Source organism: Homo sapiens, chromosome 2 (assembly GCF_000001405.40).
Source record: "Homo sapiens chromosome 2, GRCh38.p14 Primary Assembly".
Classification (NCBI taxonomy): Eukaryota; Metazoa; Chordata; class Mammalia; order Primates; family Hominidae; genus Homo; species Homo sapiens.
Window position 1 is genome coordinate 39,244,361 of NC_000002.12, and position 12,649 is coordinate 39,257,009.

At 38.3% G+C, this 12,649-nt stretch overlaps 2 protein-coding genes across 13 annotated transcripts in view; both read right to left on the reverse strand.

Annotated features, from left to right (window-relative positions):
- Positions 1–2,760, reverse strand: part of CDKL4 (cyclin dependent kinase like 4) — a 79,150-nt gene extending 76,390 nt beyond the window's left edge. For 6 of the 7 annotated variants that reach the window (XR_001738736.2, XM_011532817.3, XM_011532815.4 and 3 more), the window contains exon 1: positions 1,096–2,760. The gene's annotated coding sequence lies outside the window, so the exon portion shown is untranslated. The remainder of the gene's footprint in view (positions 1–1,095) is intronic. The other variant, XM_047444141.1, reaches the window with a different exon arrangement.
- Positions 4,906–12,649, reverse strand: part of MAP4K3 (mitogen-activated protein kinase kinase kinase kinase 3) — a 188,020-nt gene continuing 180,276 nt past the window's right edge. For 5 of the 6 annotated variants that reach the window (NM_001410753.1, XM_047446092.1, NM_001270425.2 and 2 more), the window contains 3 exons: positions 10,090–10,160; positions 7,470–7,525; positions 4,906–6,345 (listed from right to left, as the gene is read on the reverse strand). In NM_001410753.1, coding sequence (NP_001397682.1) covers positions 6,258–6,345; positions 7,470–7,525; positions 10,090–10,160 — 215 coding nt within the window. In that variant the 3' untranslated portion in view covers positions 4,906–6,257. Of the gene's footprint in view, positions 6,346–7,464; positions 7,526–10,089; positions 10,186–12,649 lie in introns of those variants that run through there. The other variant, XM_047446091.1, reaches the window with a different exon arrangement.

The window sequence follows — 12,649 nt, forward strand, 5'->3', positions numbered from 1 at the left end:
CACTCTGAGCAGCCCGCCGGCTCTGCCGACCCCGGGCAATGAGGGACTTAGCACCCGGGCCAGCGGCTGCAGAAGGTGTAATGGGTCCCCCAGCAGTGCCAGCCCACCGGCGCTGCGCTCGATTTCTCACTGGGCCTTAGCTGCCTTCCTGCGGGGCAGGGCTTGGGACCTGCAGCCCGCCATACCTGAGCCTCCCACCCCCTCCATGGGTTCCTGTGCGGCCGGAACCTTCCCGACGAGTGCCACCCCCTGCTCCACGGCGCCCAGTCCCATCGACCACCCAAGGGCTGAGGAGTGCGAGCGAACGGCGCGGGACTGGCAGGCAGCTCCACCTGCAGCCCCTGTGCGGGATCCACTTGTTGAAGCCAGCTGGGCTCCTGAGTCTGGTGGGGACGTGGAGAACATTTATGTCTAGCTCAGGGATTGTAAATACACCAATCGGCACTCTGTATCTAACTCAAGGTTTGTAAACACACCAATCAGCACCCTGTGTCTAGCTCAGGGTTTGTGAATGCACCAGTCGACACTCTGTATCTAGCTGCTCTGGTGGGGCCTTGGAGAACCTTTGTGTCGCTACTCTGTATCTAACTGATCTGATGGGGACGTGGAAAACCTTTATGTCTAGCTCAGGGATTGTAAACACACCAGTCAGCACCCTGTCAAAACAGACCACTGGGTTCTACCAATCAGCAGGTCGTGGGTGGGACCAAATAAGAGAATAAAAGCCGGCTGCACGAGCGAGCAGTGGCAACACACTCGGGTTCCTTTCCACACTGTGGAAGCTTTGTTCTTTCGCTCTTTGCAACAAATCTTGCTACTGCTCACTCTGGGTCCACGCCGCTTTTATGAGTTGTAACACTCACCGCGAAGATCTGCAGCTTCACTCTTGAAGCCAGCGACACCACGAGTTCACCGGGAGGAAGGAACAACTCCAGACGCGCTGCCTTAAGAGCTGTAACACTCACCGCAAGGTCTGCAGCTTCACTCCTGAGCCAGCGAGACCACGAACCCACCAGAAGGAAGAAACCCCGAACACATCTGAACATCAGAAGGAACAAACTCCAGACGCGCCAGCTTAAGAGCTGTAACACTCACCGCGAGGGTCCGCGGCTTCATTCTTGAAGTCAGTGACTGCAAGAACCCACCAATTCCGGACATACTTCCTCTTGGTGGGTATAACCTCGGGGCCGAGCCTGTAGCATCAGGCTGTGAACGGAGCAAAAGTTGAATGAGAGCGCTCAGGAAACATTTCAACCACTTTCCCCTTAATACTGTGATTACACCATGTCCCCTTCTTTCCCAAGGCATCGAGAGCACTGAAAAACAGCACACGTAACTGTTGAATATTGATTAGTTCGTTTCCCTGCCTGGGCAGAGACCTTCAGTTTGCAAGATTCTCTGTCATTAGTCATTACTTTTCGGTCTTGTTTAATTATCCAAATACCTTTTCAGCAGACTTCTGTAGGTTTTTGCGTGAAAAGCAGCTATGGATCAGAGGCCATTTTCCTAATTCACCTAGCATTGTACTAGTACCTGAGGCCTAAGAATCAGACACAGGTTTGACACCCATTAGGGAAGAAAGTCAATGAAACAAATAATGTAATGAATGCTCTGTGGAGATAATGTATTACTTGGGAAAGAGAATTTTGGCTAGAGCTTACCCATTTTATTCCCAGGACTAACTTAGAAATGCTATATGTTAATAAGCACACACGTACTTTGTTTCAGCATTAGCAAAATGCTCCCCGTGATCATGGCCAGGTTTAGCATCTCCATACTTCCCTAAACAGGTGACTCTCTTCTCCTTTTCTCATCCATCTCATTTCTTTTCCACTTCTTTCATTTGCTTAGATACATGCTGAAATCTCCCATCTTTAACAAACAAAATCAAAACAAAAACCTTTATCTCCTTCCTCTTTTGAGACCAAATACACTTCCACTAAAGTCAAATACTCATAAAATTCACATCTATCCAATTCCTATATAATTTCCACCATCTATCATGCTATAGAAAAATTTCTCATTAAGTATACAAGTATCACCTTATGTACAAATCCATCAACCCATTTATATCTTCATGATACTTGCTCTCCAGTTTCTGAAACTGTTGATTCCTAGCTGCTTCTCTCATAAGGAGGCTCTTCACAACCAGGCCCATCTTTTTATGCAGCTTCCTGCCCTATTACTCTGCTTCAGGCACCCGAAACTCTGGTTCATTCAATTCAATGTCACTATTTCTTGAACATGCAGTATTTGCATATGCCTTGGTCTAGGCTACAGGTTCCTACCTTGCTTTCTTACTGCATATGGTAAATTTCTCTTCATCTATCAACAACCTGGTTTACAAATCTTACTACACAAAGCAGAATTAGGCACAACCTCTTGTACCTTTTTTTTTTTGGAAACAGAGGCTCACTCTGTTGCCTAGGCTAAAGTGCAGTGTCACAATCATAGCTCATTGCAGCCTCAAACTCTTGGGCTCAAGTGATTCTCTTGCCTCAGCCTCCCTCCCCAGTAGCTGGGACTATAGGCATGTGCCATTATACTTGGCTAATTTCATTTTTTGTAGAGAAGGAGACTTGCTATGTAACTCAGGCTGATCTTGAACTCCTAGGCTCAAGTGATTCTCCCACCTCAGCCTCCCAGTGTTGGGATTAGAGATTTGAGCCATCACACTGGGCCTGTACCTTGTTTTAATACTACTTACTTCCGTTTGCCTTTATTCATCCAAGTGTGCTCCTTGGATGAATACTGGTTGGGAATTAAACCTTTTCCATCTCTTCTCCAGTGCTAGTAAAGTGCCTTGGCTACAGTGTAAATAATCACTATATGTTGTATAAGTAATTGTCTCACAAAAGTTAAAAAAGTCTTTGTTATAATGACTTTTGACTACTTATTTAATATACTTTGACTGTAAATTTTATGTAAATCCTTTTATCTTTATACCAAATTTAGATAAGAAAAATGCCTTTCGGTAAAGCAAAAAATTAAGACAGAAGTTAGTATCTCTTGTGCAGAAACAGTGAAAATAAAAATCTGAAATCCAACACCTGGAGAAAAAAAATCTAATTTTAGAGGAAAGAATGAGAGAGTCTGTTTTAGTGGGCAGTGGATATACTGCATGTATTTTATGTAATAGTCTTGCACAGTGGTTAAGAGAATACACTTTGAATCAAGTGCCGAGGTTCAAATTTTGCTGTATTATTTACCCGCTATAGTTCTGGGCAAGCTGCTAAAACTTTCTGTGCCTGTTTCTTCATCTGTAAAACAGAGTTAATAATACCTCACAGGGGTGTTCTGGGGCTTAAGTGGGACTATATAAAGCATGCAGATGAGTACCTGGCACACACATACGTGAACTGGGAATGTATTATATGCTCTCTTAGTGTTTACCCATTATTTTGTATAGCACACACTTTCACCTCTCCGCCAGTAATGGTGAAAACTAATAGCATCTGTCCTTTTGTTTCCTGGTCTCTACTGAAATCAGAGTCACATGTGCAAGCTGAATGATGCCATTAGGCCCATAACCGGTTGATCTCATTCTCCTCAAAACCAGTGTCTATGCAATTAGCTAATAAGATCGCTTTAACTTCAATAAAGATGAAATAGATTGTTTCCAACATTTAAGTGAGTGGCTGTCTTCCTTTTGTGTATGTAAAGATCCATAATCAAAAATTCCTGGGTGGAATCTAGAAATTTGCACTTTTAAGTATTACCAAAGATGATTCTGAGGCACACTTGGACACACTCAGAAGCACTGATTTAAATTTAGTGCCCACCAGTGGTTTCATGTTGCGATGCACATCAGAATCATTTGTACAACTTTATAAAAATATAGGTTACTGAGCCTCAGCCCTCAAGATTATGACTCCAGATATATCTTAGAAAGCTCCTGGGTAATACACAACCAGTTATGTATTTTATTTTTTGAAAATGTTTCTAAGTGTTTAACAGCTAAATGTGATGACTAACGTTTTTTGAGATATGACCCTTTATGTAAGTCTTAAAAACTGAAAAAAAAGTGGTTCAGAAAAAGGATAAACTAAACAACCTGTCAGTAAGAGCCAAGAACAGAATCTTGATCACTTAAAAATCTTCACTTAAAAATCTTTTCCAACAGTCTCTGTTTTGCAGCAAATTGATAATGTTATACTGACAAAGATGTGTGAAAAAACATAGTCATTAGTCACTAATGATAGGATTATTCCCAATGTGGGAAAAGTGATAAATGAACTCAGTTGTTATGGTTATTAGCATCTGTACGATTTTAGATGTGGAAACTGTTAAATTATTCAAGGCCATTGTGACACGTAGTGGCATAAGCAATATGGAAATGGTGCCTCTCTTGATCCCCAATCCAGTTCTTCCCTCTTAATCTTCCCCTTCCTTACCTCCAGAACTGCATTTCCCAATGCTTCCTTACTTTCTCTAACCCAGGCACTAGCACATTTTTTCTGTAAAGGGTCAGCAAAGTAAGAATTTTAGGCTTTTCAGACCATATAGTGTTTCAGAAGCCACTCAACTCAAATATTGTAGCACCAAAGCAGCATAGACAGCATGTGAGTGAATACGTGGTGTTGTGCTCCATTAAAACTTTATTTACAAGAACAGGCAGTAGGCTGGATTGGTCTGAGGACTGTAGTTTGTGGACCCCTGCCTCTAACCAGAAAACTATGAATGTTTGACTTTTCTTATCAGGAAGTCGAAGTTTCTGCAAAAGATGCCCTTTTCTCCTGTGTGGAAATATTAATGCTTCATGAAACTGAAACCCCATATCAAATAAAAATCATGATTTGAGGGACCAAAATTCAATACTTAAGAATTTAACTACAAAACAAATAAAGCTTTCCCCTCTTAATATATTTTAGTGTTACTATATACAGATTAAACCAGATGACAAGCTACTATACAACAGCATGTTAAAAAACATGTTTATTTTACAATATGTACAATCAGGAACATATTTTAAAACCATTATCATTAAAATAAATGAAGATCATAAATCACAATTTAGTTTGTTCTTAGTGTATATACTCACATTAAAATATAAAGAACATATACCAAAAAGAGCCAAAAGTGTGCATTTTGCTAAAACCTGGTATATACATATTCCATTGGAAAAAAGCAATCAAAAATGACTTAAACCAAAACTAAGTTCCTGTGATGTGTAGTAACCATTATATTGTTTGTATGAGGTAGTAACTAAATTATTTTGGCCATGTATTAATACTCTAAGTCAAAAGAAATATGAAAAGGATCATAAAATAAGGCCAACAAAAGTAAAAATTCCAAGAGAAATTTGAACCACTTCACTCTATGGAATGTTACAGTTCTTCAGTGTGATCATATGAAATGTTTAGTGAGGACTCTTTAATAATGCTAATTAATTCTTTGTGCATACTGTAATTCTGACCACAATTGCAGTATTCTATCATGGTACCGCTATTCTGTGATTCAAAAATGTTCAAAGGTATTGTTTTTAAGCAAAGACAAGCAATCTTACAGGATTCTGCTTAAATATAAAAAGACCAGTTACTACAACATGTGGTTAATTATAATTGGTTTGCTTCACATAGAAAACAATCCAAATACATTTGTGGAGCCAAATGCTTATAGACAATGTCACAGCTTACTTTTGTGACTTAATACATCACATATCAATACTTTGTGCAAATATAAACACCAGTGTACTTGCATTAAAATTAAAAAGATTATAAAATGATTACAGCCTCCATTACAATTTTAAAAGTTACAAGATTTATATTCATATTACTAAATTACATATAATAAAAATACAATAGTGTTAAATGTATTGTTTCATTGCCAGCATCCCATTTTGTAATATAGCCACACCCAAGAATATACTAAAGAATTCTTAAAATATTAACCCCAATTGCATTTTCATCAACATTTACATCTGTACAGATAAGACACTTACTTGTACATCTCATAAAAGTACATTATCTACATAAATTCTTAGTGTATGTCTTCAGCAATATGAAGTTTCACAGAAAAAATACTGCCTATATGTACAAAGATTACATAACAATGAATTAAGCACTTGTGTGGTTCAATATGCTAAATATATCCATACCACTTAAAACAAAATTTTCCCCATCTTATCTCATGCCACAATAAATTACAAAGTAACTGAAGACAGGTTACTGCAGCTTTTGTACAGCTTCAAGCATCCATTAATGTTGCAGTGGTAGTGTTCTTTCTTTCTAGAGTTAACTGTCAAAGCACAACAATTCTCAGTAACTGTTTTCATGACCCGCCAGGATGTACAAATTGCTATTTGCTGTGGGGTTATCAGTTGGCCTACTTTCCAAAACCACGACCCTGAAAGTAATAAAAAACATATAACAAAACAAAGTTATTCCTGAAAATTAATGTTAGCTCCCAAATTTTCCATTGCTTCTCCAATATGTGCCTCTATAAATGCTGCTCATTTGATCGTGGGCAGAAATCATTTGCTATCACTGTGATTACAGGGCCAGTTCTAGCTCTGGGAAGTAATTTTGCTGTCCACTACCTCCCACCTCTAGGCCAGTGTTCTTCTAAGAGTCAGAAGTGGGGAGAAACCTATATTAGAAATTATTTGGGGGAACTTAATTCTTATTACAAGTTCTAAAAACGATTTGCAGTTCAAGAACCAGAAGCTAAATTGCCAGGGTCTGACCCAGAGACCCACGCTGCACAATGGATGAATAACGTACCCAGACACTGGTATTCAGTGAAAGACTGGCTAGGGGGCCAGGGCGCTCACAGAAAGAGTTGTAGTGGCCGTGTGCCCTGACTAGCTGTCCCTGCAGGCATTTATTCAGCACAGATTTAATGACAAAGGCTTTGAGTCAACCTACTTGTGGGTAATTTATCAGGTTGCCCTCCCCAGGAAAGAGCAGTCCTGCCCGCATGATCAAAGGTTGGTTTTAGGACAACATGAGTAAACAAGCTATTTAGATAAACTCCTCTACATTCCTATGTATCTATGCCCTAAGCTTTTAAGAGAATTCAGCTGCCTTCAGCCAAATCTTTTACTGAAGCTATGCAAACCTTCTGGCCTTCCAAGAAGGTTTGTGTCTATTTCCTATAACTTTATAATCTCTCCCACCACCCTGACCAATGTCTTACAGTCAATCAGAACAGGTCTCCAAAATCCTATCGGCATTAACAACACAAAGTTCTGTTCATTAACATATGGTATTTCCTCTTTCTTCTGCTGCAAATCAGATGTCAGTATGTTTAATGGAAACTAGTACTGACAGATCCATACATTCCTGTTACTTGGAAGATCAGGTACATTTTCAAAGGCTAACTTTCTGACCTGTGAATTCTTATAGTGTGAAAAATTCAATGTTGAACATATTGCAGACATTTCAATTCTCTTGAAAAAGAAATCTGTTTCATGCTGGATCTATAAAACACGTTTAGTACTGTGTATTTAATACAGTCCGTTTTCATACCTGTCAGATCCAAGCAGCCTGAAAATTCTTGTGCTATCTGAAATTTCTTGTGTTACCTGTTCAATTAAAACACAAATTTAATTTCTGAAATTAAAGACACAAAATTTTTAATGGGCACTTCATTATAATTCAACAGAAAAGAAACATGATCGCTAAAAATGAAAACATATTCCTGCATGACTGTTTGTTAAAGTCAGCATGTAGATACATCAATTTGTTAGTCGAGGGGAAATGTGGTTAATTTTGAGTTAATCATAAAATGCAGGCAAAGGAAAATGATTTCCTTGTTAAATCATAAGACTTCAAGGGAAAAACTTAAAAGCAAAGCACTAAATCCATTTTATTTATTAGAAACTTTCATCATTTATGTTAACGCTAATGGCAAGGTTACTGGCAGCAGTAAGCTACTTAGATCTGCTTCTTTTACTTAAAAAGGCTGCCACGTAGTGTAACAGGAAATATTTAAAAGGCAGACATGCCTTGAGTTTGACTGTCAGTTCTCCCACTTACTGGGCAACGTATGTAATCCGCTAGAAATGGTTTTGCCTTATGCAAGATGGGATAGAAAAGATCTACCATGCAGTAGAGCCCTGCAGTGTTCTTATAAGGATTAGTGGGTATAATGCCTAGCTAAGGAAGTGCTCAATACATAATAATTATCTTTCCCACTTCTTCCCCATTCTCTTGAAATAATATTTTCTAATGACCATATATCCTTCAAGAAGTCCTCAGTGTGACCAACTACCAGTTGGGGAATTAAGAATAAATATACAAGAAAAAGAGAAACCAACTATTCACAGCTTACTGAACACAAAATATTATGAATTAGAAGGGCAGTTAGCATCTCCCCAAAATTTGGTAGGCTGAAGAAAAAATGGATTTGAAATTAAATTTATTCCATCAATACCCCTACAATTAGATTTTCTAGAAACACTAATGACTCTTAGCTTCTGTTGTAACCCAGCATACCTGCAGGAAACAACATGCTCAGCATGCTCACTTCAATGCCTGTGGCTCATCATGACTGTGATTACCAATATATTTTGGGGTTTGCCTACTAGAAGAAGCTAACATTTTTGGAGGTGTGTATTGATGGGCTGCCTGTGTAGTTCTCAGGTGACTTTTTGGGTGAACTTTTTCCTTTTAGTTTTTAAACCACTTCTGTATTTGTCTGTAATGCTTTTCTTTCTCTGACTAGTGTTTATTAGCTGTTGACTGTTCTTATCTCCCTGCTCAGTTCCTCACGTGATTTTAGAAAGTGTGAGCCCACTTGTGGGGATTACTTTTAGAAACATCGTAGCAGCCACCTTTTTTTTGGAGGGGGACGGAGTCTTGTTCTGTCGCCAGGCTGGAGTACAGTGACGCGATCTTGGCTCACTGGAACCTCCGCCTCCTGGGTTCAAGCGATTCTCCTGCCTCAGCCTCTCCCGAGTAGCTGGGACTAGAGGCACGCGCCACCACGCCTGGCTAATTTTTCTATTTTTAGTACAGACGAGGTTTCACCATGTTGGCCAGGCTGGTTTTGATCTCTTGACCTTGTGATCCGCCCGCCTCGGCCTCCCAAAGTGCTGAGTGTACAGGCGTGAGCCAACATGCCTGGCCAGCAGCTACCTTTTAAACACTTACTATAGGTCAGGAACCAGGCCAAGCACATTACACGCTTTGTTTCATTTAATCATAACAACTCAATTCACAGATGAAAAAATATAGGTAGAAAGAAGTTAGGTGACATGCCAAGGTCACCCAGCTACTAACTAGCTGAACTTGAGACCTGAAGCCTAGTGTCTCAACTCTGGAACCCAGGCTCATGAACACTGTGGTATATTGCTTACTTTGTTAGAAATAAACGCTCTGAGCTTAATGAATGACAGTTTAAGAAACAAATAAGCTTCCTTCCAAGTTACATGACTGAGATTGGCTTGGGGGTACTGGAAGAATTTCTGACAATTTTACGTGCTTGTAACATTCTAGGGGGCAAGTGCCACATCTTGTTCATGTTTATAACCTCAGAACTTTCCGGCATAAATGTTGAACTGACTTGAATATGTCACACAGCTTGGAGTTAAATTATTTCTGTGAGGTAGGAAGGATTCATGAGATGCATAGCTAAAGGTTAATAAAAAGGAAAGGTAAAGGGGGCAAAGAATTATATACATGTCAAATGAATAAGGATGTTGAAAATAAAGAGGTAAGTGGGCTTCCAGAGAAATATAGGACTCTTTACTTATAGTCTGCGCTGGTCATTATTTCTGAAGTACAAGGTAGAAAAGGTGCTTAAGGCCAGAGAGAGCCAGCACTAGCACTCTTGCTCCTGGGGTTCCTCTGGGAAAGTTGAAAGAAAATCATAGTTGGCTCACTTTTAGCAGATTAGCAAGTTCTTGTTCTAAATTTCAGACTGATTATCTGGAAGCACATTAAATATGCACTAAAGTTGTTTGAGTAGTGGAGAGAGAGAGAGGTGGACATAGAGTATGGGCTACTGACTTTATCAATAGACTAAATACAGTAAGTATTAATAAAGTTAGCCAATCAAGCATTACTTGTATCATTTAGGAATCGAACTGTTTGAAGTGGAATTTGATAATGTCTTGTGACTACTTAATGGACATAATTTACTTACCTCATTAGATCTAAAACTTCTACCTTGCATTCCATGTTTCCAGAAAGCTAGCACACTGTCTTGTAGGCACACTAGCAGGCAAGAACAGCTCAATTACTGTTAATAGTACAAAAGTTCAACTGATAAGCATCATTTCATCCCTCTATCTCATACAGCAATATTTCAATTCACAACTAATGTCAGCTATTCCATATTTATATGGCATCTTTACATTTGAAAAGTTTAAAAATATACTATACAGAGCTTATGCATCTTTTTGGTAGGAAAAAATTCACCGAAAATATTTTTGTTATAGTTTTTTTGTATTTCTAGTAGAAATGGGTTTTTACTTTGTTGGCCAGGCTAGTCTCAAACTCCTGGCCTCAAGTGATCTGCCTGCCTCGCCCTCCCAAAGTGCCAGGGTTAAAGCCATGAGCCACTGTGTTCGGCCTGTTTTGGTAATTTTCAAAAATAAAATACTGCAAAATACAGAAAACAGCACAAAAATATACGTGTATCCACCACCCAACAATCAGATCCTAACATTCTGCCATTTTTGCTTTAAATAAAAACAAATACAGCTGGCATCCCCTATGTACCCTGCCCTATTCCCATTTCTGGTCTTTCCTTCCTCCCTGAGATAACCACTATTATAAATTTGGTATTTATCATTCTCATGCATGTTTTTACTATTACTATAAGTTTATACTATCAATATAAATTTTATATTGAATATTTCCAACCTTCATACATTCAGTAAGATGAACATTGAGGTTATTTCTAGTTTTGCATTATTACAAACAATTTTGCAATAAACATTTTTGTACATCTTGAATACATGTACAAATCTTTCTTGAGGGTAGACACCCATAGATAGAATTACTGAAGCACAGGGCATAAACAGAACAAGATTTAGTTTTGCTTTTTATATTTATATTTTTAATATACTTTTTGGCATGTATTCAGGGAGGAATAAATCTTATTTTGTTTTCTGCAGGTAAGCAATTGTACCAGCATCATTTGTTGAATGGCCCATTTCTTCCCCACTAATACATAATGCCACGAATTTCCATTTACATGTGGGTCTATTTCTGGGCCTTTTCTTCTGTCTCACTCTTCTACCTATTTATTCCTGTGTTGTTACCACACTACCTTAATCACTATGGCTTTATAGTAAGTTTCAATATTGGGTAGAAAACGATTTGTCAACATTTATTTTCTTATTCTTGGTCTTTGGCTCTTCCATATAAATTTATTTTTTACTTTAAAAAATTATTTGTAGAGATGGGGTCTCCCAATGTTGTCCAGGCTGGTCTTGAAATCCTGGGCTCAAGCAATTCTCCTGCCTCAGCCTCCTACAGTGTTGGGATTACAGGCATGAGCCGCCGCGCCTGGCCATTCCATATGAATTTTAAGAGCAGCTTATCAAGTGGCACAAAACATCATGTTGGGATTCTTACTGCAGATCCACTGAACCTGTGGATTAACTGAAGAACTGGCATCTTTCTCATTTAAGTCTTTCTACCCATGGACATGATGTAGTTCTTCACTTGCTGAATCTTTTATGTCTTAAAAAAAAATAATTTGGAGGTTCCTAGATAATGATCTTAAAAATGTTTGGATTTCATTTATTCTTATGTATGTTACTTTATTGCCTTTGTGAAAGGGATCTTTTTTCCAATTAAGTTTTTCACTGATTATTTAGGAAAGCTATTCTTTGGTGTTACTCATATCCAGCAACTCTGAATTCTCTTACTAACTCTAGTAACTTATTAATAGGGTTTTATATTCTATGTACATAATCATACCATCAGCAAAAAATGATCTTTTTATCTTTCTTTCTAATCCTCATACTTTCCCTTTCTCATTTAATAGACAATAATGAAATGTGATAATAGCAAACATCCTTATTTAGTTCTCCACTTTAATGGGAATTAATTTGATCATTAAACATATTTTTAACAGGCTTTGCTAGGTGAAGGACATTCCTTTCTATTCCCAATTTGCTAAGAAGTATTATTTAAAAAAAATCATTAATGACAGATTTTACTGAATGCTTTTTGGGCATCTACTGAAGAGTTACATGATTTTCTCTTAATACTTGGTATTGTGTATTACATAAATACATTTTCTGATGCTGAACCATCCTTGCTTTCCTGGGATAGTTTACTATTTGATAATGTGTAATTCTATTTGCTAATATTTTATTTAGATTTTTAAAAATGATTTTCATAAGATTATAATTTTTGTTTTCTGTACTAATCTTGTTTGATTTTAGCATCAGTATTAAACACTGATTTATTCAGAATTCCTTGTCTGTAGTCTGAAACAGTTTGCACAGGATAGGGATTATCTCTTCCTTTAATGGGGGAGGTAGGTAAAAAAACCATCATGCCTGATTATCAGGTACCACAAGCAATGAACTTGGCTGTGGTTCTCCATCTCCTGTGGGATACTTTTGTAACTGGAGCCCAGCAGGCCTGTTAGCTTCAGACCTGTATACTGCTTTGAGATTCTGTTGTTGATCTTGCTTTTTGACCCTGGCTATGTCTTTGAAAGCGGATTCCATTTTAACATCTTG